This window comes from Homo sapiens, chromosome 9 (genome assembly GCF_000001405.40).
Source record: "Homo sapiens chromosome 9, GRCh38.p14 Primary Assembly".
Lineage (NCBI taxonomy): Eukaryota > Metazoa > Chordata > Mammalia > Primates > Hominidae > Homo > Homo sapiens.
This window is the reverse complement of record NC_000009.12, coordinates 132,804,808-132,832,156: the sequence shown is the minus strand read 5'-3', so window position 1 is coordinate 132,832,156 and position 27,349 is coordinate 132,804,808. Positions and strand designations below refer to the sequence as shown.

Below are 27,349 nucleotides of genomic sequence, written 5' to 3'. Positions count from 1 at the left end.
TTTTTTTTTAAATGTCAGTGGAGGCTACGGGAACCTAAATATTTTAATATGGAAGAAATGCTGGCCTTTTTTTTTTTTTTTTTTTTTTTTTTTCAGAGACAAGGTCTCACTGTGTCACCCAGGCAGGAGTGCAATAGCACGATCGTAGCTCACTGCAGCCTCAAATTCCTGGGCTAAGGGGATCTTTCTGCCTCAGCCTCCCAAGTAGCTGGGATTACAGGTGTGCACCAACGCGCCTGGCTAATTTTTAAAAATCTTTTTCGGTAGAGTGGGGGGGTCTCATTGTGTTGCCCAGGCTGGTTTGAAATTCCTGGCATCCAGCGATCCTCCTGCCTTGGCCTCCTAAAGTGCTGGGATTTCAGGCATGAGCCACTGCACCCAGACCACCTTTTGGTTTGTTTTTAAAGAAAGACATCTCTTACAGTCGCCCACACTGTGTCTGTCGATCAGGTGATATGGACGTGAGTGACCTGGAGGCTGAGTCCGTCCATGTCAGTCCGTCATCTGACCTTAGAGCAACTGAGTCTCCCAGTGGCTGAGAGGGAGGGCTCTACAGCAAGCGGGGGCTCCCAGCGTTGACTCCCAGTTGCCTGACCCCGCTTCCTACACAATGGAGACTTGAAGCAACTCGCTGCTTTCTTTCAGTCTCTTCCAAAGCTCCCTTTACTAATGTACCTGGACATCAAGTCTAAAGCATTACATTGTGTGTGTGTGTGTAACTCTAGACTCACGGGACTTGAAAGGACTTTAGAAATTGTTTATTGTGAACATTGCTGAGGGACATAAAAAACAACTTAAGCACATGAGACGATAATGCATTGACTTGATAGTGTAAAAATGTCAATTTGTCGTGAATTGATCTACACATTTAATGTTGTTCCAGAATCCCAGTGGAATTTCTATTTGGGAACTTGACAAAATATTTTTAATGTTTACCTGAAAGATCTTGCTTTGAAAAAAAAAAGAAGGGAGAGCGTATTTTACTAGACATTACGATAACTTATAAAACAACAATTTAAACAGTTAAATAAAAAGAATTTAACAATCTACAGGCAGAAAGAGGCCAGAGCCAATGTCGTATCAGCATTTAGACTGTGATAAGTGTCCTCAGAGGGGAAAAGATAGACTGTATTGTGGGTGAGTTTGGAACAGGTGGTGAGCCATAAGGAAACAGAGTAGATCACAGCCCTATATCATTCGCACACTGGAATGCAGCCCTATTACACAAATCATTACTATTTACATGTAAAGAGTAAAAACACAAGAACACAATTTAAAGGCAAGTGAATATGTATCAGCTTTTTCAGGGGGGAGGGTGTTTTATGCATCCACACAATGCCAGAATCCAAAGACGAAAGCAGCGATTCATTTGGCCACAAACTGGTGTGTTAAAAGCAACACCACACACAAAATGAAAAGGCTGCAAGACAAACTGCTGAAAATATTGGCAACATAGTTTGCCTCAAAGGGTTTGTGGTAGTGTTTGCCAAAATGGGTTCACGTTCTTAATATGTAAAGAGCTGTTGTCAATAAATAAAAGGATGCGACCCCAAGGGGAAAGTAGATAGATGACACAAATGGACATTTTGGAAAAGAAAAAAAAATCCAAATAGCTAACAAACATATGGAAAAAATACTGAACCTCATTAATGATCAAAGAAATGTAAATTAAAGCAGCAGTGGTATACTGTATTTTGCTGGACAGATTTTTTTCCCCTAGATAATGCCCAACATTGGCAGAGATGCAAGGAAACATGCTTTGCCATTGGATTCATAAACTAGTGGGCCATTTTGTAGAGCGATGTGGCAAAATGTATCAAAAGTCGTAAAAGAAGGTATCAACTTTTAGAAATTTATCTGAGGATGTTTGATAGGCATCGAGATGCATATACAACATTGTTTATAATGGTGGAAAACTGGAGTCAAACTGAGCAATATGAGCAACAATATGGGATCAGTTAACATCAGGTCAATTCATACAATACCAGGCAGCTGTGAAAACTTCTATGCAAGGAGCACTTTGTGACATGGGAAAACGTTCATGAAATGTTTTTGCTAGAAAAGAACAGATTACCAAACAGTGTGTACAGTGTGGTTCCCCTCCCCACAACCCCCAGCCACCGGGAAAAAAGGTATCTGCACTTGCTGCTTGGAAGGAGATATACCAGAATGTTGACAGTGGCTTGTTTGGGTCTGAGGTGTTACCAGTGACTCTTATTATTATTTCAGCTTTTCAATATTTTCCACACAGTGTACAATGATTGTATATTACTTTCACAATTGGATTTAAAGAGTTAGTAAAGGCCAGGCACAGTGGCTCACGCCAGTAATCCCAGCACTAGGGAGGCTGAGGCAGGAGGATTGCTCGAGCCCAGGAGTTCAAGACCAGCCTAGGCAACGTAGCAAGACTCTATCTCTATAAATAAATAGTAAAAATAAACCTCTAAACCAGTTCCCTAGCTGTACCAAGAGGGGGCTGATGGGTGAGGAATTTCAATCCTGTAACAAGTTAGCCGCAGAGTAGAAACCGGAATCATCGTCCAGGGTTTTTTTTTTTAAGAAAAATGGGGTGTTCCTGCAGATATATGGGGCAGAAAATGAAAACAAAAGTGGGGTTTTGTTTTCACCCTGGTCTCAGGAATCTCTCAGAAACTGTCTTTAGGAAATTATCCAAAATGTGGAAAGCGCTAGATGCACAAAGATGTTCATCGAGGTATTATCTATGATAGTGAACACTGCCCGCAGTTGAAATGTTCATTTGTGGACATAGTTAAGTGGCTGTGTACATTCTCTTGGTGGGACATTGCACAGCCGTTGATAATGTGGACAATGAGGAGCTGTGCAGATATGAAGAGATGCTTGTGGTCGCTATTGTGTGGTAGAAAAAAATCAAGATGTAGGCCAGGCACAGTTGCTCACGCCTGTAATCCCAGCACTTTGGGAGGCCAAGGTGGGCAGATCACCTGAGGTCAAGAGTTTGAGACCAGCCTGGCTAACATGGTGAAACTCTGTTTCTACTAAAAATACAAAAAATTAGCCGGGTGTGGTGGCACATGCTTATAATCCCAGCTACTTGGGAGGCTGAGGCAGGAGAATTGCTTGAACCCAGGAGGCGGAGGTTGCAGTGTGCCGAGATTGTGCCATTGCACTCCAGATTGGGCAACGAGAGTGAAACTCCATCTCAAAAAAAAAAAAAAATCAAGATGTAAAATATATATGTTATGATTATAATCACCAAGATATGATTCGGAAGGGAATATAATAATATATTACAAAGTAGTTTTTAAAGAAGGGTGAGGTAGCTATCAGAAACATTTTTTTTGTCTTAAAAGTTCTAGTCTTTCTATAAAGCTATTATATTCCTTTTAAAATAATTCCAAAAAATCTAAAACTCAAAACAGATGAGCACCTCTCTGAATCTTCTGTCTAGGGCTGGATTCTGGATGGCATCCCTGAGACGCGTGAGCAGGCTCTGAGGATCCAGACCCTGGGGATCACACCCAGACACGTCAGTGAGTAGCTCCCAAGGGTCCCCCACCTGCCAGAGCTGCAGCCCCAAGGGGTGGCCAGTGAGCGCCCCGCTCATGCTGCCTGCTCCTGACCTCAGCCCAGGCACCGTCTGAGACCCAGCAAGGAAGAGGACAGCACAACTGAATTTTTCACAGAGCTAAATATATTCAGGGCTGGTTCTTAAGAAAAGTGGGGTTTCGTTTTCAGCCTGGCGATTCCTTGTCTCAGGAAGGAAATGCATATTCTATGCATAGCATAGAATGCTGTGCAAGCATTTAGTGCGCACAGAGATGCCCATTGTGGCGTTATCTGTGACGAGGGAAATTGTTAACAGGCAGAACTTTCCGTCATGGGCCGTGCTCTGTCCCAACGTTACACTCTTTGTGTTTGGGTGCGAGAAGACCTTTCTCTTAGGAATTCACGGGGATGGGAGATGATTGTTGTTTTAATGTCATTATACAGAAAAGCAAAAAACGTAAAGCAAGTATTGGTCTGTGATATTCAAATGTGTGGCACCCGCTGCCCGACATGCCTGGTTTTGCTCCTTTTCTTCTCTGCCCAGTTGTGCTGAGTGCTCCAGACACGGTCCTGATCGAGAGAAACTTGGGGAAGAGAATCGACCCTCAAACTGGAGGTATGGCTACGGCCACCCCCACCCAGCCCCATGGGGTTTCAGAGTCCATGGTGATGACAGCCCGTCTACCATTTCCTGACCTCGCATTCTGCTCTGGGCACCCACAGAGGGACACGAGGAAGGCTGCCACAGGCTGGGCTCTGAGCTGGAAGACACTGGCAAGGGTACATTCTGGTAGATGAGGAAATGGAGGCCTGTTTAGGCTAAAGGAGGAGACTTTCTTGTGGCAGAACCAGAATAGAGTGTGGGGGGTCATGCCAGGCACCTGGGCTTGGGGCCCACACAGGAGCCAGGGGACATGTCTGCCTCTCCCTGGGACAAATTATGTGCCCCCTTGACACCCCTTATTCTTTGGTATTTATACAGGAGAGAGAGGCATGAGCATTACCTGGGAGAATTGGCAGGTGTTGCAGGGGACGGGGCCCTTGAACTGGGCCTTGAAGACCAGGCAGTTCAGCAAGGGGCTGGCGGGAGGGTGGGGGGAGACGGGACTGCCCTTGATCTTCCGGGCCTCACGCTGTGGTGGCAGATAGAGCTGGGTTTGTGGATCCCTAACTCTGTCCCTTTCTGGCTGTAGACATGGGATACCTGAGACTCAGTTTTCTTATCTGTACTTGAGGATGAAAATACCAACCTAATGGGTGATGGGATGGCTGTGAAGATGAAATGGGAGTCTGCAGGTGCCTATCAGAGTGGCTGGCACAGAGTAAGTGCTCAGAAGTTCACGGCAGCCCTTGCCCTGGGTCCTGTTCTTGTATTGTAACAAGAATAATAGTTAAGAGCAGGCTCAGAGTAGCTGGAAGTGCTGGTGTTGAGCAACGGTGTCCTGCCGTGGTCAGCCACACCCCAGGAATGTGTAGGGCCTGGCCTCCAGGACAGCAAGCACCCCAGCCAGGCACAGCAGCGCCCACAGGGCCCCTGCATGGCCATTTCTAACTGTGCACCTCTCTCCTTGTAGAGATTTATCACACCACCTTTGACTGGCCACCCGAATCTGAAATCCAGAACCGTCTCATGGTGCCAGAGGACATCTCAGAGCTGGAGACGGCTCAGAAACTGCTGGAGTATCATAGGAACATCGTCAGGGTCATTCCCTCCTACCCCAAAATCCTCAAAGTCATCAGTGCTGACCAGCCATGTGTGGACGTCTTCTACCAGGGTAAACACAAGCAGGCAGCCCCACCCTGGACAGACGGCCAAGGGCGGGGCTCGCTGTGCCTTCTACCACTTTGTCCCTTATTCTGGTAGTGGCCAGTGTCTGGGACATGCCTGGGACCCTGGAAGTCAAGACATAGATGACCCGGGTTCCCTGCCCAGAAATGCATGTGTGCAGAGCCCCTGGGGGTACCCCACTTGGAGACCCTGGGCTAATGTCCCACACTCAGATGTGGTCACATCTCTGGCCCACAGCAGATTTGGTGGTCGTGGGGTCGGGAGGAGGAGAGGCAAGGGATGGGGTGGGAGGGACATGGTAGCAAGAAGTTTGAGCCTGACCTTGAGGGAGAGGAAAGAAAAAATATATAAAGATTAAGACAAAAACAAAACCACCACCACCACACACAACACAATAAAACACACACACACAGCACAGGTGGTATGCTTCATTTAGGATGGAGATACATGGCCCCGCGCCTGGCACTGCGTTGCTGTCCACAGCAATGGCCAATGTTCACAGCAGCTCGGGAGCCACTGCGGGCAGCCTGTGCGAGGTGCGGGGATGGCTGAGCTGAGCAACCTGTTCAAATCTCAGCCCCGACGCAGCCCAGCTGTGCAGCCTCTGGCACTTCTCCTAACTCCTCGGAGCCCTAGTTTTGGCATCGCTAAAATAGGAACAAAACTTGTGCCCTCCTCCCAGGCGTAGGTGAGGATTAAATGGGATTCTCCAAATCACGTGTCCACAGCCACAAGCCCAGTTCTGGCACAGAGAAAAGCCTCAATAAACATCAGTCGTCATAGCTCCTATCATTGTTCAACACCCTGCCCAAAAAGGCAAGGGCAAGGTAGAATAATTCTATCCCCAAACAGCTGTATTATCCTTTTCAAAAGTCTTGCTGAGCTTCAGTCATCTCAAAATGCAGTATCTCAAAATCCAGTCGTCTCAAAATTACCCTTCCACACAGTGTTGGGTAAATGAAGCGTTTACGATGGGAACATCACAGATATTTAAGACACTTGACAGTTTACAAAGTCCTTTTTTTCATATATTCTCTCAAAACTCTCCAAGAAAAGTCCTGTTTTGCCGGGGAAGTGGTTTTGAGCTCCCTCAAGCCCTTCCCTGCTGACTTTCCCAGCACCTTCTCCTGCTGGTAGACTCGGTGCTTAAACCTCATTGCTACACTGAGCTCGGAGATGCGGTGTTTGCCGGCGTGGATTGAACAGCCTCGCCCTCTGAAGGGAGCAATCAGCCAGCGGGTGGGTTAGTAGAAAATGTCGCTACTTAAAGAAGAAATGCCAGGCTTATGATGGCTTATAATTTTCCAGTGATTTTGCATCTCGGAAGGGTCATTAGTAACAAACACTGCACTCTTAAGATAAACAACCACAACATTTATCTTATGCCATGATTCTGAATTTACACATTAATTACTTCCAAATTACTTAATTAAATTTAAAAGTTCATATGATCGTTCATAAAGAATTCATGCCTGGAATTGTAAATAAAAATGTGAGTGTCTGAATATTAATTATTATTAATTAATAATGCAGAGAGATAAATTGAAAATTGGAATGCAGAATTCTCTCTGTGTTGTTTTTCTAATCTCTCTGCAGTGCATCCAGCAACCACACATTTTTAAAAAGAATAATTAGATGTTGAGACTGTCTGGGGGATCATTACTTCTAATTAACTTAGTTATTTACTGTAAATTAAGCATCATTTGTAAGCAGGCTGCTTTGCCTGTAGTATTTGTGCTTTTCAGATGCACGGGATTATGGAAGGTCTGAGAATAAAGAGAGCCTCGCCTGAGTAGCTTCCTTTGGGCTTCTCTCAGTGGAGGAATGGTACCCATGGCAGGTGGTTTGGGAGAGTTGCCCCAGCTCTGCCAAGTCTCAGCCTAATTGGCTCATCTGTAAAATGGGACATGAATAACGCAACCCTCATGGGATTGTTGGGCCAAAGAAAAGAGATGGTGCCTATAGAGTATTTGTCGTAGCAATTAGTACATGCCATTGATGATGCTGATCACAACCTGGAAAAAAGTCCATTCTAACTCATCTCTGCCTTCTAAAAAGAGGGGACTGTGCATCTCTAATGACCCTTCCAATTTAAAAGTCCAGCAAAGATTTGAGAGTTCAGGATTTTCACAATGAACATATCCCAGCGGTTCACAATCGGGGGCAGTTTTGCCCCCACCGCAACCCCGGGGATATTTGGCAATGTCTGTAAAGGTTTTTTGGTTGTCATACCTTGCGGTTGTGCTGCAGGCACCTAGTGGGTAGAGGCCAGGGATGCTTCTCAACATCCTACAGTGCCCAGAATAGCCCCGCAACAAAGAATCTTCTGGCCCCAGATGTCAGTAGTGCTGAGGATGAGGAACCTGCCTGGTTCCTGGGTGGCATGTTCCTGAAGGAGGCACGATGGCCTGGCCCCTCACCCAGCACGGCACCCACCGCAAGGCACATTGGTAAAGGCAGACTGGCAGGAAGGTGTAACGGGGCCACCCCTGGCTGAGTTTGCACAGGACAGTCTGGGGCCTTGGCAGGAGGGGGAAGGTCTCCCTGGGGAAGGATGCCCTGTTTTGAACGCTGGGGTGGGGGCTGGCACAGGTCCGTGCCTCATCTGTGGGCATCTCTCCTGCCTCAGGTGCCCGAAATGCTGCCTTTACAGCCTCATTAGCCTTTTCTCACAGCTCCCTGTTTCTGAGCTCCAGCGGGAGGTGACCTGGTTTGATGTTCAGTAGCTTTGCCCTGTGGCTTCTTGGCATCCGGTGCCCCCCATGGTGCAGGTGGCCTCATTGTTGGAGACACTCACCCCATCTCCTCACTTCTTTGTTCACCAAATGCCAGGGGCACACCACAGGCCAGGGCCATGCAGCTACATCTGGCCACTCCTGTGACCTCTTTGATCACTACCTCTTTGGAGAGTCGCAACAAAGTTGGTGTCACCAGAGTGCAGCTGCACAAACTACTCTCCAATTCGAGTCCTTTAGAAGTCCCTGGGCACTGGGCCCCCATGTGGCTGGATGCGTTTATCAAAGCCTGTGTCTGACATTCAGGTGCACCTAGCAGAAAGCCAGCGTGCACTTCTAGGAGACCAGCCTAGTTCCGGGGCTTCCGGTTGGGAGGCTCAGCCCGATTCAGTAGGAAAAGCCACCAGCCCTATAGAGAGTGCTATCATGTCCTGGGACCAGTCTCCCAACTGCAACACAGCCAGCCCTAGTTCAGCCTGGAAGGAAATGCAGACACCTGCACGTGTTTAGACGCCTGTGTTGAGAGGAATCCAGGGCGGCGCTCCAGGGTGGCTTCTGTGGACTTCACTCCTCGCTCCCTGCCTTGGTGCCCAGGCCTGCCACGTAATTCTTTTCCCTGCCTCTTCGCCAGATGCACAGAGGGCTTCCATGGTGCTGTGAAAGAGAAAAAGAGTTACTGCCGTTAAAAGAGTCAAAGCAGAGGGGCTGCAAGCGGGTTTCCTGTTCTCTAGGACCTGGGTTTATTATCCTCATATCCTCTCTTTCCAGCTCTGACCTATGTCCAAAGCAACCATCGTACTAATGCCCCGTTCACCCCGAGGGTGCTGCTGCTCGGGCCTGTGGGCAGTGGGAAAAGTCTGCAGGCCGCCCTCCTGGCCCAGAAATACAGGCTTGTCAATGGTGAGTGCCCCAGGTGCTGGGCTGCCCAGCTTCGAGAGCCTTTCCCTGCCTCCTGCCCCTCCTCCCCAGCTCTCATTTTATGGGGGGTGGTGTTGGGGGGGAAGGGTCAGTATCACTTCTCTTTCTGGCTCTTTGTTCTTAACCATTTTCTGTTAGTCCATCTTTGCAGGAATTTTCTTCCTCCCGAGGAATATTGCCATAAAAACATTAACCACTAAAAACATGTCCACAGCCCAAAGAGACAGAACATTTTTCAGTCATCGTTTTTTATATCCTTTGGAGCGGGGGGTTTGTCTGTGCTGTACACCAGGGGTGGCTCCCATCTCACCCCTGCCATCTCCCCTGAAGCCTTGGCTCCTGCGTAATAGGAATGTGCTGTTTATTTATTTTCTCCAGTCTCGTTTGGTGCCCCCAACCCAGGTCAGTGTGTTTACAGGCAGACAATTTCTGAACCAGAGGAAGACTTCTCACTCCGCACAGTTTCAATAAATATTTTACCAGGAAGAGAGAAAATATTGAAATCAGCTCTCCAGGTCTTTCCCGGGGTGGTCCCAGGCGGTCTTGGATGCCAGCTTGTGTTCAGGAGGATAAAGGGATGGGAATCAGGAAGAAACTGTAGCAGAGACACACTGCCAGGTTGAAGGGAGTTAAAAGCACTGCCCCTACGCACACCATGCTCCACAAACCTAAGTAGCCTCTACTGTATTTACTAAGGAAACGAGACCTGCACCCCCAAATATATGCATATGCATACAACCCCCCCAAATTATACAGGCATACCATATGAATATAGAGAGGGAATACAAACAAATATATGGACACACACAAATATACCTACAAATATATGTACATTTTTGTACATTTGTATGTATATTTGTATATACATACACATATATGTATATATTTGTATATACATACACATATATGTATATATTTGTATATACATACACATATATGTATATATTTGTATATACATACACATATATGTATATATTTGTATATACATACACATATATGTATATATTTGTATATACATACACATATATGTATATATTTGTATATACATACACATATATGTATATATTTGTATATACATACACATATATGTATATATTTGTATATACATACACATATATGTATATATTTGTATATACATACACATATATGTATATATTTGTATATACATACACATATATGTATATATTTGTATATACATACACATATATGTATATATTTGTATATACATACACATATATGTATATATTTGTATATACATACACATATATGTATATATTTGTATATACATACACATATATGTATATATTTGTATATACATACACATATATGTATATATTTGTATATACATACACATATATGTATATATTTGTATATACATACACATATATGTATATATTTGTATATACATACACATATACATATATGTATATATTTGTATATACATACAAATATACATATATGTATATACATACAAATGTACGTGTATATATATGTATATGCATACAAATATATGTATATACCACCCCAGAAGAATCAAGTTTTGAATAAAAATGCTTCTCAGGCCTCCTCCAGCTTACAATTCTAAAGCCACTGAGACCAGCAAGGAATCCATGACAAAAGTCACACACCTAAAATGAAGATAGAGACCTGAACAATTACTCTGCAAATTTGATTACTATGGAAAATTAATCAGGACATTTAGAATAAAAAATGTTCCTGAGTCCGTTTTTAAAAATAAATTATTTCAATAATTCCTTCTTCTTTTGATTGTTCCTCTTAAGAGAATTATAAGATGAAATTTCCAGCAGTGTTAGGGATGGCTTCTTTGTTCCGATGACCAGCAGTCTACCTGTGGCGGCATCACTTGCTTACGTAAGCATGTGCCCACATCGTTACGGGAAGGGACAGAGTGAGCGTGGAGGGGCACTCGCGGTGGAGGGAGAGTCTGAAAACACGGCAGCAATACTTTAATGCAGTGCAGGGCTTTATGGAAATAATTGTCTCGGTGCTCTGTTTTATGATGCAGACACTCTCATTCAATAAAAGGTTTTTTTTTTTTAATTCAAATTGCGTTCAGCACACCAGCCATGAAGAGATGAAATTACCTGCCTAGATTTTTCCAAAAATGAAAATAGAAAAGCTCATCATGGTTTTTGCTTGTTACCTAAGAGCCATGATGGGGCTCTTTTAGATAATTAAGCATTTGGAGACTATCTCAGAAAGTTCACATTTCTCAAAGGTGTTCTTGATAAATACAAGATGTCATGAGATTTAAGTAAACCCATTTAAGAGACCTAAGGCAGGTAGCCTTGAGATCTCTCTGCAAATGCGTGTCTGAACCCAGAGCTCCAGGTGCTGTCTGCTCCGCTGCGGCCATCCGCTCGCCTGGTTCTAATCTTCACATCTGTGAATCTCTCAGCCAAAGGAAAATATCTCCAAACCAACAAAAAAACAGACAGCCCCCACACTCACTCCCACAAAGTTCATCAGAAGACCTCACTTAGGATGATGGGAGTATATACGGACACGACTTTCTGAAAGGCGAAAGCCACTGTTGGTTAAAGCACTAACTGCGCAAACCCTGTGACCCTGGGATTTAACTCCTAGGAGTTTATTCTGCTCCAACACTCAGATATGTAAGGAGAGATGTGGCAGAAGCATAATGAGAAACAGAGGCAACCTCTAACTCTGTTAATAAGCAGGTTTGTGAAATAAGTTGTGATAAACCCATGTAATGGATTGCGAGGCAGCTGTTAAAAATAAACCTGTAAAGTGATTTGATGTCAGTGATACATGGCTAAATAAGGGAGGGGCAGAAAACAATTTGCTCAGCAGTATCCAGGGGGTGACCTCATTTTTGTTCAAAAAAGCATGTTAGTTTATGCTCAGAAAAAGCATGAAGAAATATCCATACACCAAACTGCTTATCTCGGCAGAGCTGTGGATTATACAATTCAGATTTTTTTTTTTTTTTACAGTGAGCATGAATTCTTTCCTTCCTTCCTTCCTTCCTTCCCTTTGTCTTTTTTTTTTTTTTTTTTTCGGGTCTTACTCTGTCACCCAGGCTGGAATGCAGTGGTGCAGTCATGGCTCACTGCAGCCTCCAACTCCTCAAGTGATCCTCCCGCCTCAGCCTCCCAAGTAGCTGGGACTACAGGTGTATGCCACCATGCTCAGCTAATTTTTTTTTGTAAAGACGGGAATCTCTCTATGTTGCCCAGTCTGGTCTCAAATTCTTGGCCTGAAGCAATCCTCCCACCTCAGCCTCTGGTTTCTTTTTTGACTTGTGTACTATTTAGAATACACCTTGCTTAATTCCCACATATTTGGGGATTTTCCTGATTGCTTTATAGTCTTGATTTCTAATTTAATTCTATTGTGGTAAAAGAACATACCCTATGTGATTTTGATCCTTTGAAATTTGCATATATGGTCTATACTGGTGAATTCCAAGTGTACTTAAAAAAATAGGTATTCTGCATTGTTGGTTATAGTGTTCTATAATATCGATTAGGATAAGATGTTTGAAATTTTTAATCAAATTTTGAAATTCGTCTATGTCCTTAATGATTCTCACTCTACTTATTATGTCAGTTATTGAGAGAGGTGTGTTAAACTCTCCCAACTCTTTTATTTTTAATTTTTTACAATCATCCAGCCCAACATTTAAAAAATCTCCCAACTCTGAATTGTGGATTTGTCTATTCTCTGCAAGTTTTTGCTTCATGTAATTTGTCATTAAGTGCATACTGTCACACCTCAGTATCCATGGGGGATTGGTTCTAGGACCTCCCTTGGATACTGAAATCCGAGGATGTTCCAGTCTCTGATACAAAATGGCGTAGTATTTGCATATAACCTACATACATTCTCCTATACACTTTAAATCATCTCTAGATTACTTATAATACCTAATATAATGTAAATGCTATGCAACAGTTGTTATACTGTATTGTTTAGGGAATACTGACAAGGAAAAAAGACTACATGTTCAGTGCAGACGTAATTTTTACCCCAGATATTTTCAATCTGTGGTTGGTTGAATCCATGAGTGTAGAAACTATGGATATGGAGGGCTGACTGTATACAGTAAGGATAGTTATATGTTATTGGTGAAATGACCCTTTTATTGCTAGGAAATGTTGCTTTTCCTCTCTAGCAATACTCATTTTCTTGAAGTCCACTTTGTCTGATGTTAATGAAGTTTCTCTAACTTTCTTATGATTTGTGTCTGTATGATATACCTTCTATTCTTTTTCTTTTAAACTATCTGTGTCTTATAGTCTAACTATGTGTCTTGTAAACAGCATATAGTTGGGTCTCACTTTTTTTTTTTTAAGAGACGGGGTCTTGCTCTGTTGCCCTGGCTGGAGTACAGTGGTGCAATCATAGCTCGTTGCACCCTCAAACTCCTGGGCTCAAGTGAACCTCCCGCCTCGGCCTCCCACTGAAGTTACAGGCATGAGCCCTCAAGCCTGGCCTGTTTTTTTGTTTTGTTTTGTTTTCTACTTGTGTCATCTGTTCTTTGTTCCTCCTTTCCTGCCACCTTTTGGATTAACCAAGTATTTTTTAGTAATCCATTTTCTTTCTTCTATTTCCTTTTTAGCCATATCTCTTTGCTTTATTTTGTTAGTGGTTGCTCTAGGGATTAAATATGCATCTTTTGCTTGTCCCAGCCTATTTTGAGTGAATGTTACACCTCACCATGTATGATATCAGAGCCTCGCAGCAGTAGATTTTTCCATTTACCTTACTTCTTTACAGTTGACATACATTTTACTTCTGCGTATGTTATAAACCCTACAATATATTGTAATTATTTTTGTTTTAAATAGTCATTCATCTTTTAAAGAAGTGAAGATATAAGGGGGGAGAGACTTTTATATGTACCCACCTATCAGTACTCTTCACTCCTTGGTTTAGATCCAGGTTTCCATCTGGTATCATTTCCTCTCAGCCTGAAGAACTTCCTTTAACAGCTCTTGTAGTGAAAGTGTGCTGGTGACAAATTTTCTCAGCTTTCATAGCCTGAAAATGATATGATTTCATCTTCATTTTTGAAGGATGTTTTGGCTGCATATAGAAATCTATGTTGACAGTTTCTTTCTCTTAACACTTTAAAGATGTCATTCTATTGTCTTCCGGCTTGCACTTCTTCTGATGAAATCTCAGAGGTTATTTTTACCATTGTTGCCCTGCATGTGAAGCACTCCCCCTGCCCTCAGCTGCTGTTAATATTTTCTCTTTAGCTTTCAGCAATTTGACTACGATGTATCGAAGTGTGACTTACTTTGTGTTTGTTCTGCTTGGATCTCAGAGATTCTTGGGTGTGTGGGCTGAAATTTTTAATCAAATTTTGAAGTTCTCCTGTCATTATCTTCTGAAATCTTTTTTCTGCCTGCCTCTCTTCTTTCTGGAACTACAGTTCCACATATGTTAGACTGTCTGGTATTGTCCTCTAGGTCTCTTAGATTTGGTTCTTTTCTTCCGGTCCTTTCCCATCCCCCTCTTTGCTGCAGTTTGGCTACTTCCTATTGCCTCTTTTATCCTGTCTTTAAATTCACTGATTGCAGCACACCTAGTGATTTGTTTCATTTAAGATACTGTATTTTCCAGGTCCAGAATTTCCATCTGGTTCTTTTTCACAGTTTTCCTTTCTCTGCTGAGATTCTCCATCTGTTCACTCATTTTAACTATCTTTTCCTTTAAGGTTTTAAGTGTACTCATAATAGCTGTTTTAAAGTCCTGGTGTGCTGATTCTGACATGTGTGTCATCCCCGATCTGATTCTCTGGCCTGTTTTCTCTCCTCATAGGAGTCACATTTTCCTGCTTTTTTGCATGTCAAGGAGCTTTTGATTAAATGCTAGACATTGTGTTTCTCACATTTTTGAAGGTCTGGATTGTGTCACCATTCTGCTTTAAGAGTATTGAGTTTGGAGGATTAACTCCATCCTACTGAAGCTTATTTTCAGGCTTTGTTAAGTGGGAGTAGAGTGTTCTTACTCTAGGGCTAGAGTATCCCTGCAGCTAAGGTCTGCCCTTTCTGGAATCTCAGCTGAATGTCCGGGGTGTTCAGCAGGGTCTGTCACTTTGGTTGTCAGAATGCCAGCATCTCCCAGCCCTGTGTGAATTTCCATTCAGTTCACAGCTTCCCAGTAGCTTTTCTCTACCAGGCCTCTGGAGTCTCACCCTGCACATGTGCAGCTTCATATTGGCCAAAGGCTCAGTGAACCCCTATGAGATTTCTGGAACTCCTTCTGTGCACAGCTGCCTCCTCTCCCTTACCCTGTTCTACAAATTCTGGCCGTCTCAGAGCTCCAGTCTTTGTTGCTTCCACCCAGTGAGACTGCTGATCTGTTTGGGCTCCACTTCTCCTGTGCCATGATTTGAGAAGTGCCCATAGGTAGAAATCCAGGATGACTATGGGGCTCGTTTTGTATGTTTCCTGCCTCTCAAGGATTACAGACCTGTCTCTCTGTTGTCCAATGACTCTAAAGAATTGCTTCATAGATTTTGTTCAGTTTCACAGCTTTCTATAAGAGAAGTTAAATATGATACCTGTTACTCCTTCATGGCCAGAACTGGAAGCTAAGCATGGGTTTGATGTCACGCAGACCTGGGTTTGGACCCCAGCTCTGCCCCTTAATGGCTCTGTGACCTAAAGCAGGTTATTTCATCTCTTTGAGCCTCAGTGTCTTTACCTAAGAAACAGCAGGTTATTGTGAGGACCAAATAAAACAAAGCACACTTAGCACAGTGCTTGGCACACAGAATTGTCTCAGTTCTCAGCAGCTTTTTTTTTCTTTTCTTTCTTTTTCTTTTTTTTTTTTTGAGACAAAGTCTCCCTCTGTCACCCAGGCTGGAGTGTAGTGGTGCCAATCTCTGCTCACTACAACCTCCGCCTCCTGGGCTCAAGCAATTCTCCTGCCTCAGCCTCCCAAGTAGCTGGGATTACAGGCTTCCACCACCACACTGGGCTAATTTTTGTATTTTTAGTAGAGACGGAGTTTCACCATATTGGCCAGGCTGGTTTCAAGCTCCTGACCTCAAATGATCCTCCCGCCTTGGCCTCCCAAAGTCCTGGGATTACAGGCATGAGCCACTGCGCCTAGCTCCCAGCAGCCTTTATTCTCACTTATATGTCCTTTGCTGGTGAGGCTGCCAAGCACATTGGATTAAATTAAATGACAACTGCTGTCATTTACATAGTGAATTAAGCATATCATTATTGAGGAATGAATCCCTGGTGATGGTAATTTTGTTAAACATTCATGCTATCCAGTTAACTTTAGGATGTTTTTTGGTCTCCTTAGTATAGGCAGAAAACTTCTTAGCCCTAAAGGTAAGAAAGCCAAAAGCGTGCAGTGAACAATTCATGAAAATATAGTTTAAATCTTCTGGCTTTGGCTAGGAAGGACTTTCACAGCCAAGGAGGAGGTAGCCTGTGTTTATTCACTCATGCTTGTTGCCCAGCACCTCCTTTGTGCCGGCCCTAGCTCAGGGCTCGAGACACAGTGGGGCCAGAGGCAGGTTCCTGCCCAGGGCGAGCAGGTGTCCAGAGCGGGGCAGCCGCCACTGGCCAGGTGACTGCAGCGTGGTACCTTTTTTTCTTTTTCTTTTTCTTTTTTTTTTTGAAACGGAGTCTTGCTCTGTTGCCCAGACTGGAGCGCAGTGACGCGATCTTGGCTCGCTGCAACCTCCACCTCCCAGGTTCAAGTGATTCTCCTGCCTCAGCCTCCCCAGTAGCTGGGATTACAGGTATATGCCACCCACCTGGCTAATTTTTGTATTTTTAGTAGAAACGGATTTTCACCATGTTGGCCAGGCTGGTCTTGAACTCCTGATCTTAAGTGATCTGCCCGCCTCAGCCAAAAAGCTGGGATTACAGCCACATGGTGCCCTTTAATGATGAGTCAGCCCACTTGGAATATGAATCTATCGTATTGTGTGGCCCCACCATCCCATGGAGATGCCCTGCCAGCTGGAAGGGCTGTGGAAGCAACACACTGCACCCCCTCTGCTGTGTAACAAGGGTGCAAATGTGGACGCACTTGAGGCACATCGCCCAGAGATGAGCAGCCCCCGGCCAGAACGCTGATCCTCCGCAGCACCCTGGAGGGCGCCGAGTTCTGCGCAGCAATTCCAGGTGCAGCGAGGCCCTGCAGGGCTCCTCTGTGGGCAACATCCTCGTTAGTGTCTTCCCCACGCCGTCCATTTTTAATGTGTTCTTTGCCAAATGCATTCCTTTTCATTCCACCTCTCTCTTTTATTTATTTCCCGGCTCCTTTTTGATATTTACTTTTACTTGGACACATACCCACACACAGAAAAACCCTTTTATGCTTTTTTCAGTGACCTTTTTTTTTTCCCTCAGCAGGCAGCACTGGGGGTTCTTTTTTTCTCATCCTTCCTCCTATTTAAAATTTAATGGGTGTCTTTCTGTTCCCCTCTCCTTCAGTCTGCTGTGGGCAACTGCTGAAAGAGGCTGTGGCAGATAGGACCACGTTTGGCGAGCTCATCCAGCCCTTCTTTGAAAAGGAGATGGCAGGTAGGCCACGTTCCCACTAACTGTCATGACCTTACAGGCTCCAGAGAGAACTTTCTTTTTGTGCGGCTCTCTGAACATTCAGGGGCTCAAAATTGGGGAGAACAGCCGGGAAATGGAAATTGGGTTTTCTTGTAAGCAAAGGCTCTGCTGCTTGCTTCCGGTAAGGCCTCTTGGTGTCTGAGCCCGATCCCCAGTGAGGTGAGTTTGTGGATGTGGGGGGGTTATCCCTGATGGTTTAGGATGTTCCTATTTCTCAAGACGGTTGGCTTTTCATAACTGGTACCATTTAAAATTGAGAGCCAGGAGAGGCCACAGACCTCCCCACATCCTTTTTTTTTTTTTTTTTTTTTTTTTTTTTTGAGACAGGGTATCAATCTGTCACTCAGACTGGAGTGCAGTGGTGCAGTCTCAGCTCACTACAGCCTCAACCTCCTGGGCTCAGGTTATCCTCCCACCTCAGCCTCCCAAGTAGCTGGGACTACAGGTGCATGCCACCATGCCTGGCTAATTTTTTGTATTCTTTGTAGAGATGGGATTTCTCCATGTTGCCCAGGCTGATCTTGAACTCCTGGGCTCAAGTGATCCTCCTGTTTCAGCCTCCCAAAACGCTGGGATTACAGGTGTAAGCCACCACTTCCTGCCCCCACATCCTTTATTATTTGGTATATAAAAATACTGTGGGCAAATATTCCAATTTAATCAGCACTTAGAAGCCAGAAGTTTCAGACAGCTTTGCAGATGTGAGTGTTGACCGGCATTGGTCCTCAGCAGTTAGATGCTCGCCTGTTTGACAGGCGAAGCAGGACCAGATCCTCTTCCCAGGTGCCCTCTGTGATCCACAGTCTGAAAGCTTTCCTAGGATCTGACCCACAGTAAGGGCACCTTTGGGAGCATTCTAGTCAGGCTTCCTGAGTCCACGAAGGAGCCTCAGAGAAGGGACTGAGCTGCTGAGGCCACACAGCCAGTTGGCGGCTGGGCTTCTGGGGATCCTGCATCTGTCTCTTCCCTGGGGCAGTGAATTTCCCACTCACGCACCCACACCTTCCTCCCCTGCACATGCTGCAGCTCCTCCCTGCAGTCAGTGCACACCCACTTATCAAGTCTGTTGTGAACACGTGCTTATTGTGAAGAAAATGAATTCCAGAAGCAGCTGCCATTATAGTGAGCAGTGCGGGCATTGGCTAGGAATCCTCCTGGTGGAAGCTTGTGGCCTTCTCCTACCACTTTCTAGATGGAGCAGGTTGATGAGGAGGAAGCACATGAAAACAGGCTCTGTCCTCCCAGCCATCCTCTGCTTGGGCCTCCCCGGGAGATGTCCTGGCCAGCCCTCCCAAGTCCCTCCTTAAGATGTCCTAGTCCGCGGGGTGGAGTTCAAGTGTGTGGAGTAGGAGCCGTCAGACGCAATGATCTGTGTAGGTGCAGGGCAGTGAGCGGGTCTGGTCCTGGGTGTCTGCGGTGGCCACAGAATGAGGTGATCTGTGTAGGCTCAGGGCAGTGAGCAGGTCTGGTCCTGGGTGTCTGCGGTGGCCACAGAATGAGGTGATCTGTGTAGGCTCAGGGCAGTGAGCGGGTCTGGTCCTGGGTGTCTGCGGTGGCCACAGAATGAGGTGATCTCTGTAGGTGCAGGGCAGTGAGCGGGTCTGGTCCTGGGTGTCTGCGGTGGCCACAGAATGAGGTGATCTGTGTAGGCTCAGGGCAGTGAGCAGGTCTGGTCCTGGGTGTCTGCGGTGGCCACAGAATGAGGTGATCTGTGTAGGCTCAGGGCAGTGAGTGGGTCTGGTCCTGGGTGTCTGCGGTGGCCACAGAATGAGGTGGATGTAGGAGGCACCAGGGAGGGTGAAAACCAGCACGAGCTCTTATGCTTCCCAGTCTGGTTCAGATTCCAGCGCTGCCCCCACCAGCCATGTGGCACCAATAAACCACCCTGCCCTTCTCGAAGCCCCAGGCTTCCGGGTGGCAGGATGGAGGTAGAGGTCCCTTCCTGCAAGGTCGTCCTGAGGAGCAGCCCTCATGCACATGCACAGGGTCTGGGAGGCCACAGGCAGCTGCTGCTCTTCAAATCCACCTAGCGGCCGGGCGCGGCGGCTCACCCGTCATCCCAGTGGGCACGGTAGCTCACCCCTGTCATCCCAGCACTTTGGAAGGCCGAGGCGGGTGGATGTTTTCAGCTCAAGAATTCGAGACCAGCCTGGCCAACATGGCAAAACCCCATCTCTACTAAAAATACAAAAAAAAAAAAATTAGCCACGTGTGGTGGTGGGCGCCTGTAGTCCCAGCTACTCGGGAGGTTGAAGCAGGAGAATCGCTTGAACCGGGGAGGCAGAGGTTGCCGTGAGCCAAGATTGCACCACACTCTTGCCTGGGTGACAGAGTGAGACTCAGTCTCAAAAAAAAAAAAAAAAAAAAAAAGCCACAGTAGCAAGCAGCAGCAATGGCGGAGTACCTGTTGCATCCTCAAGCATAATTTCTCTCCATTTCTCTCCAAATTCCCATTTACTGGGATGGGGATTAGCACCCTAAAAATGAGTGAATGTGATACCAAATTAACCTAATGTATATAGTTTCAAGGGTTGCTAGTAGTATTCCATAGTATGCCTGGAAGATAATTTAATTCCCCACTAACCAGATAGTGGTTCAGAAACAGAGACAATGGCCAAGCAGCTGAGGTAGTGCCAATCGGCCAACACCAGGGAAGGGTCTGCAGGAATTCTTTGACTCTTCTTGCAGCTTCCTTGTCCATTTGAATTTTTTTCAAAATATAAAATTACAAAAATAAATATTTTGGTGGTTTCCAGATTTGCAGTCCTTCAATAATACTAAAATGCACACTCTTGTATGGAGAAACATCCCTGGTGATCTTATTAGGATACCCTGAGGCCTGAGTCAGCAGTGATGCCCATGAACAGTGGCAGTGGTGATGCTGTACTGCCATACGCTCCCACCATCAGTGTGCGAATGCTCATTCCCTGCCTGTCTTTGCCATCTCTGGGTACTGCCAGTGTATTTGTCTTCTGTTACTTCATAACAAATGTCATGGTTTAGAACAACACAGATTTATCTTGCAGTTCTGTAGGTCAGAAGTCCTGAAATCCAGGTATTAGTAGGGCTGTGCTCCTTCCTGGGGCACTTGAGAGGATTTACTTCCTTGCCTTTTCCAGCTTCTGGGGGCCATCCCCATGCTTTGGCTCGTGGCCCCTTCCTCTGTCTTCAAAGCCAGTAGAGTAGCATTTTCCAATCTCTCTCTCTCTGACTTCTGCTTCTGCTATCACACCTCCCTCTCTGACTCTGACCCTCTTACCTCCTTCTTATAAGGACCCTTGGGATGACCCAGAACGATCCAGGATCATCTCTTCATCTCCAGATCCTTAATTTAGTCCCCTTTGCAGAGCCCTTTTTGCCATATCAGGGAACATATTCACAGGTGCCAGCGATTAGGATGTGGACATCTTTTTGGGAGGTATTATTCTGCCTGCCATGGCCAGCCATTTGAATCTTTGCCACTTTGTTATGTGACAAAAGATGTATTTATTTTTAATTGTGGTCTTATGATTGTCGGTGAGGTTGGTAAAGTTGAACGTATTTTCATAAGATAATTGGTCACGTGTGTTTTATCTTTGTGAACCACCTCTCTATAGCCCTGGCCTATTAACTGTTTTTCCCTTTGCCCATTTTCCAGTTAAGCAATTTTTTGTCCTAATTGGTTTGTCAGTGCTCTTTGCATATTAGGGTTGTTTACGTTTTTCCATTAATTTTTCTTTATACTTACATTCTATATTTTATCTCTGTTTCAAGTCACGTTATAATTTTGTAGTTTTAGCAATTGCTTGGAAAGAGAACAGTGGCTCATCGCGGCCCTTTAGTTCTCAGGCATCGTGGGATGTCACGGTCGCCAAGAAGGTCATATGAGGATGTTGGTTTTTTATGAGGTCACGGAGCACTCGGCCTCCTGGTTTCCTCATCTCCTCTCTCCTCACCATCTGACAGCACAGTCTTATCTTCCTCGTCTTATAGGGAGTTGGGCGTTTACAGATCCTTAATTAATCATCAGATATGGGCACCATTTTGCTGACTTATTCAAACTGTATCTTTTGAGTAAATGGGACCTATTGTTACTTCCTCTTCGAGAGACAGAAATGAATTTGCTTGAATCAAAGCACGTCAACTTTGTACAGAGCCGGCTTAATTCATCCACCACTAAAAGCAAACCCAAGAGTCCTTTCAAAGGTGGTCCAGGCGCAGAGTCGTTTTTGTGTTTGTTTTTTGTTATTTGGGGGATGCAAAGGAGGCTGACGGCACAATTCCCAATTTTCTATAAAGTTAGCGAGACCCGGATCACTTCGATCTTCAATGTTTCATGCTAAATTTTTTCTTCCACAGCTTTTTGTTTATTTAGACTATGTACCTCTATACTTTCGCTCTTCCTACAAAATTAAAGACACAACAACAACCAATATCATATCTCCCTAACGGAAGCAATAAATTCTGTCATTTCACTAATCCTGATCTCGCAGGGATAACAAAGAATGCATTTACATTCATAACCACTAACAGGGTCTCATTAGTGGGCTGTGGAGAAGCTGCCGAGAAAACCAAAGCGCTCAGCTCGCAGAGCAGGAGCGCTGGAACCACCCAGGTCTGGCAGGGACCCACTTCACCGCCAGCTGAAACAGGAAGAAAATTTAAATGATTCTTGACAGAATTTGGTTTTGAAGGGAAGGTCAGGCTGAACAGGGAAACTCTGCCTAGCCGACCACAGCCTGCTTATTTATGAATAAGCCCAGCTGGCTGAGGCCCCCTCCTTCCCGAATTGAGCATTGGTGACATCTGTGACTTAGGGGTCCCCTAGCCTGCAGGTGTACCCCACTGTTTGGGCTTGAGGGGTGGTGATTAACCACATCCCTTCCCCTCATCCTGAGTTCTGAACCCGATAGGAGACAGACCTCAGAGTTTGCTGAGAGCATAGAATGGATAATGTGGCTGAGAACCCAGGTCACATTTGGGCTTAACGTGCCCTTTGGAGGCCAGGCCTGGAGACAAACCACCCATTGTATGGCCATACTCCAGTGGTGGGGACAGGGAGATGGGCCCCCACGCTTGCCCCAGGAAGAGCCCTGACTGAGTGGAGGCAGATGTGGAAGGAAATTCCTCTGCACTGTGGGCCAGTGCCTGCCAGCGGGAGGATGGGAGAGCCGGAGGGACTTGGCCTGTCGTGGAGTGACTCCCTGCTCTGGGGAAGAGGGAGGCCACAGGGTGAAGGGAACAGTGGAATTCAGCTTCCGAACACTGCCCTGCAACCAGAAGGACCTGCCCTGCCTCCTGAAACTGGAGGACATGCTGCTGTATCCCCTGAGGCTTTCAGAACTTCCAGAAGAGGAGCTGCTGGTTGGTGCTCTCCCATATACCTTTGGGGAGTCATTGGAGACATCCCAGATTCCCCTTTTCAATCCTAGGTCTGTTTCAGATATCTCTGTCCTGGGTGCCAGCGGCATTCCTGGGAACATAGGAAAGCACCCAGTCACTCCCCTGCCTGTTAGGAGTTTTCATCTGTAAGGTTCAGGAGCTCAGCAAGTGAGATTATTGTAAAGACATGGAGACCTCATCGCCATGGGGCAGAGGCCCCTAGCATCTCTGAGCTTGCAGGTGTCACTGCCAGAACACCCTACCATCTAGCCACCCAGTGCAGAAAGCCCATCCCCACCACTCCCCAAGCCAGGCACTATAGAGTCTTCCTGGGTACCCCCTCATTGCCCTGGTGGGTACTGGACCTCCTTCCCTGGGGACTCCGCCCTGCCTGTGCTCCCGGCTGCTGGCCTTCTGCTGGTCTTTCACTGGGACCCCTGCCATTGCAGACTTGTGCTTTCTCTCCACTCACCTTGGAGCTGCGTGCCCCAGAGATGTGCGCTTTTGTTATTGTGCATCCCTGCCACCCTCACAGTCACCATCACCACCATCACTGGCTCAGCCAAATAGAGCCAGATGTCATCTTTTCCCCGTGCAGCCTCTTGCTCTTATCCCCACTCCAGGCCTCATGATGTTATGTCCCAGCCGTGACCTCTGCAGACTTAGTTATGTTCTTTTTTTGTCCTCACAGGTGCTGCCAACACCTCCTTCTTTCGAATCAGCAGCAAAATTAATAACTGTACTGTTTTCCCATCTTTCCACATTTACTGGGCAAAGGACCCCAGGGCCCCATCTTAGCGCATCTTCAGTCCCTTGATCCCAGGCTCTTGGTGATGGCACTGTGGACAGAGGACTGGGGAGATGCTTATTCTGTGCCTGGACTTTGAAATATATAGGTCTGACCCCCTAAACTCGTTCTGACTTGAGCTGCAGTGAACAGAACAAATTTATTCCCCAGGGCTCCGCACGTGGAGTTCTTTATGCAGGCAACCTCCATTAAAGTCACCAGGAGTTTGCTCTGCATACGATAAACAGGGTCGAGCTTAAATCATGCAGCCTTAGTTGCCAGGGAGCTCCTGTCACTTTTACACTAGTACAAAACAAGTAAAAACGATTCTGGGCTTTTGGAAAAATAAGTTCTCAGCTGTTTCTGTATCATTTAAAATGAGATGGTTGCTGCTGATGGACTCCATTGCCACCGTGTTCTACAGCATGTGTACAGATGTCCTCTTTCCTCTCTGAACTCAAGCAAAGGCGCTACTAGATCTCAGTTCTTTGCTTAAATCAGCGGTGGCTCACAGTGGCCACCACTGCCAAATGATGTCCTCAGCTCCTTCCCCATAGCTCCATTCCTACCGAAGTGTGTTTGAAATTTCTGAATTCTGGAGGCCCAGAGCTTCCTAAGGAAATTGGCCATAATTCTGTCTTTGCCTCTTGGAATGTCGCTTCCCGATTTTCACTTAATATAAAATGAGCCCTGCTCATGGGCCTCACTCTGTTGTTCAAACTCACCCAACATAAAGAAGTCTGAAGTCTGCACTGCTTTATTTTTAGCCTTTCTCATGAGAATTTTAGCCATAAATTAGGGTCCAGGGACTGTTGATGGTGGATATAACCTACTTCCAGGTTGCCGGGCCCAGTGAATGGTACAACGCCGGCTCTTCAGCCAGAAGGCTTGGCTTCTGCCCTGGCCCAAGGAACTGTTCTCGTTCTCATGAGTTGCTTGGACTTCCTCTGGAGGGTGGTTATCCAGGGAGGAGATGAAAAACAGCCAAAGGCAGATCTTGTCCTTGCTGGTTTATGTCTTTGCTCCAAGTGCATGAGATGCTCATCTCAGCCTGTCCACAGCGCACTCGGAACATGCTGGAACTGCATGGTCAGGAGCCCGCCAGCCATGCCATGTCCCCAGCAGTGGGGCTTCTGAGCTAGACTGTAGCTTTTCACATCTCCTGTCTCTGCATACACTCTGCAACACCTGCCCAACTGGCTCGTCGGCCCAGTTACGGTGAGCTCCTAACTGGCAGCTGCCCCTGTGGCCCCGCCCCCCCCAGCATCTCCCAACAGCTAAAGCAGTTCAGTTGTAGGAAGGCCCACATTCCTTGGCACATACCAGACATATTCCTTTCTTATTGTCAGGAGGGAAGACAGCTATTTAATTGGTAATGACTTTCCCCTAAAAGCGAAAGTCCTGGTATGTAGAAAAGGTGATGTGGAAGACAGATCATTATCGAGTTGTTACCTGTGCCCCTCCCACACATCCCTACATTTCCTAAACATTTCTGTCTGGGAAAGGTCCCTCATGGCCTAATAGAACCCGAGAAAAGGCGGGAGATTTGAGAGAGTTTCAAGAAGCTAATTTGCACCCTTTCTGGTAATGAGACCTCACCCTAGCAAATGCAGCCATCGTAATACAAACAAGCCAAACCAGCCCCCAATTGGGATGATGATGTGTTTTCAAGAGCCTTCCGTGAGTCCAGATCCCAGGAGGTGTGGATCAGAGCTCAGCCAAAGTGCTGCATTTTTAAGGGGGAATTAATATTCTCATCACTAAATGCACACTAAAGATCGACCATAGACCAGTTTTTCTCTTTTGTTAAAAACTTGCAAAGAGTTGCTGAGTTGAAAGACAAAGTAAATCTCCCCATCTGAGGAGGTAAGCGGAATGCTATTTCTTGTTTTTAGCAGAGCAGCCTCGGCCAGCTGCAAGCTGTCTTCCCGTGGAGGGGAGACCCTGAGGGACCCTCTGCCCGTTTCCAGCAAGCCTTTGCATGCGGTGTGTTTGTACTCGCTGAAGACAGCGCATGACTCTCTAAATAATTTACAAGTTGATTAATAGACTCACAGGGGTATAATTAGAAGAGGGAGAGACAGTGGGTACAGTAACCGGTACAGTGCTTGGGGGAACAGGAGCCTTTATTTTTTTAAAGAAACTTTCTAGGGTGCTGGGCGTTTGAAGATAAGTTGGGAAGAGCTCAGTGCCTCTTCTCTTTTGAAGTGGAAATAGGACAGTTTGAATCCGTCGAGTTTAATTTTTCACAAGCTTTAGGGGCCCCGCAGTGCAACTCCCTTTTTATTATTGAAAAAACTCTACATTTTTCTTTCATTTTTCTACACACACACACACACACACACACACGCCAAGCAGTAAGTAATAAACACATTAATTTACTCTTATTCTATGTGGATTTCCTTCGCGTTGCCTCCCCCAGGTGTGTTGGCCTCTGTCCCTTTGGTACCCCCAACCCAGAGCCCCCGCTGTAGGGTGGCCTAGAGGTTTATTAATGGATGCCCCCTGTAATTTATGCATTTTAAAGGAACCCTCACCTCGGTCTGACAATGCTTTTGAAGTAGCTCCTTTTTTCAAGTCAAACTTTTGACTTTTCCGCTGGGACTGCTACAAAGATTTCCTCATGGAAACTAGGTAGGAGTCTTTTTCAGCCAGAGAGAAAGCTGTGGCCAAGATAGCCAAGCAGAGTGGCAGGGTAAAAGCGTTGTTTGCATTGTGGGGGCTGGAGGGCCTAGGAATGAGCACAGTTAGAGGAAGCGGGTGAGCACCTTTGCTTATCAACAGGTTTGTGCCCCCGAGGGTCCTTCTCTTTGATTTTTTTTACACTAGACTTTGATTTTGAAAGTGTGCCTTGTCTTTCTCCGGTATGAAAATGATGCTTTGCCAGGAGGCAGCCCCGTCACCAAAAGATCAAAAAGCCTTTGCTCAATGGCTAGTCCAGTGGGGAAACTGAGGCAGTAAGTGATGCCAGATTCATTCATGCATCCATTCGACAACATTGTCTCCCCAAGAAGAATGGGCGCTGCCGGAGGGGGGTAGGTCTGGCCTGCTTAGCGCTGTTCCTTGTCACTGGCTGGAGCCACCATAGGGGCACAGCCAGATTTTCCTGTTGGGCTGAATGTCAAGTGTTGCTGTGTATCAGGCATCCAGATTAAAAAAGAAACCCAACCCAACCCTGACATTTCTGGGAAGTCCAAGGAGAGCCGGAGTGCACAGAGTCATCCTTGCTCTGACCAGAGCTTCTAGAAGCGTTTCCCTCTCCGTGGGCAGCCCCAGCGGCTTCAGAGAAGAGCAAACCGCCAGTGCGCTCAGCTGTGAAATTGTCTCTGACAGGCCTGACCCTGGAGGCCCCGGGCCTTCTTCTCCAGTCGGGAGGTCTCTCAGTGTAGCTGTCTGGGCAGCCCTTGGCATGGCTAGAGCTGTGCTCCTGCCCCTCACAGACCCCCCAACGGCAGGTGCAGCTTGAAGCCTCTTTCCCTCTGGGAACATCCTCGCCTGACGGGAGCTGACACGGGTTCTTTCTCATTGGGCTGTGAGCGGGGCCTGCAGAGGCAGGGGCAGGACATGAGGGGTGAGGAAGAGGTGGCCCCAGTGACCCTCTGCAGCCTCTACACTTATGATCAGGGAGGTGGGACTTGCTGGG

The 27,349-nt window shown here is 46.1% G+C and overlaps 1 protein-coding gene across 14 annotated transcripts in view, besides 1 other annotated feature; it reads left to right on the top strand.

The window, feature by feature from the left end:
* The window catches only part of AK8 (adenylate kinase 8), a 153,469-nt gene that overhangs the window by 46,890 nt on the left and 79,230 nt on the right, over positions 1-27,349 (top strand). For 10 of the 14 annotated variants that reach the window (NM_001371771.1, NM_001371773.1, NM_001371772.1 and 7 more), the window contains 5 exons: positions 3,431-3,512; positions 4,073-4,144; positions 5,103-5,303; positions 8,821-8,952; positions 17,430-17,519. In NM_001371771.1, coding sequence (NP_001358700.1) covers positions 3,431-3,512; positions 4,073-4,144; positions 5,103-5,303; positions 8,821-8,952; positions 17,430-17,519 — 577 coding nt within the window. Of the gene's footprint in view, positions 1-3,430; positions 3,513-4,072; positions 4,309-4,681; positions 4,851-5,102; positions 5,304-8,820; positions 8,953-17,429; positions 17,520-23,610; positions 26,094-27,349 lie in introns of those variants that run through there. The other 4 variants (XM_047422821.1, XM_011518277.3, NM_001317959.2 and 1 more) reach the window with 3 other exon arrangements.
* Positions 23,354-23,855: an enhancer, noted in NCBI's record as "H3K27ac hESC enhancer chr9:135683689-135684190 (GRCh37/hg19 assembly coordinates)". NCBI's record gives its function as "activates a minimal SCP1, AML or CMV promoter by ChIP-STARR-seq in primed H9 embryonic stem cells {active_cell/tissue: H9 hESC(primed)}" and the evidence as "EXISTENCE:reporter gene assay evidence [ECO:0000049][PMID:30033119]".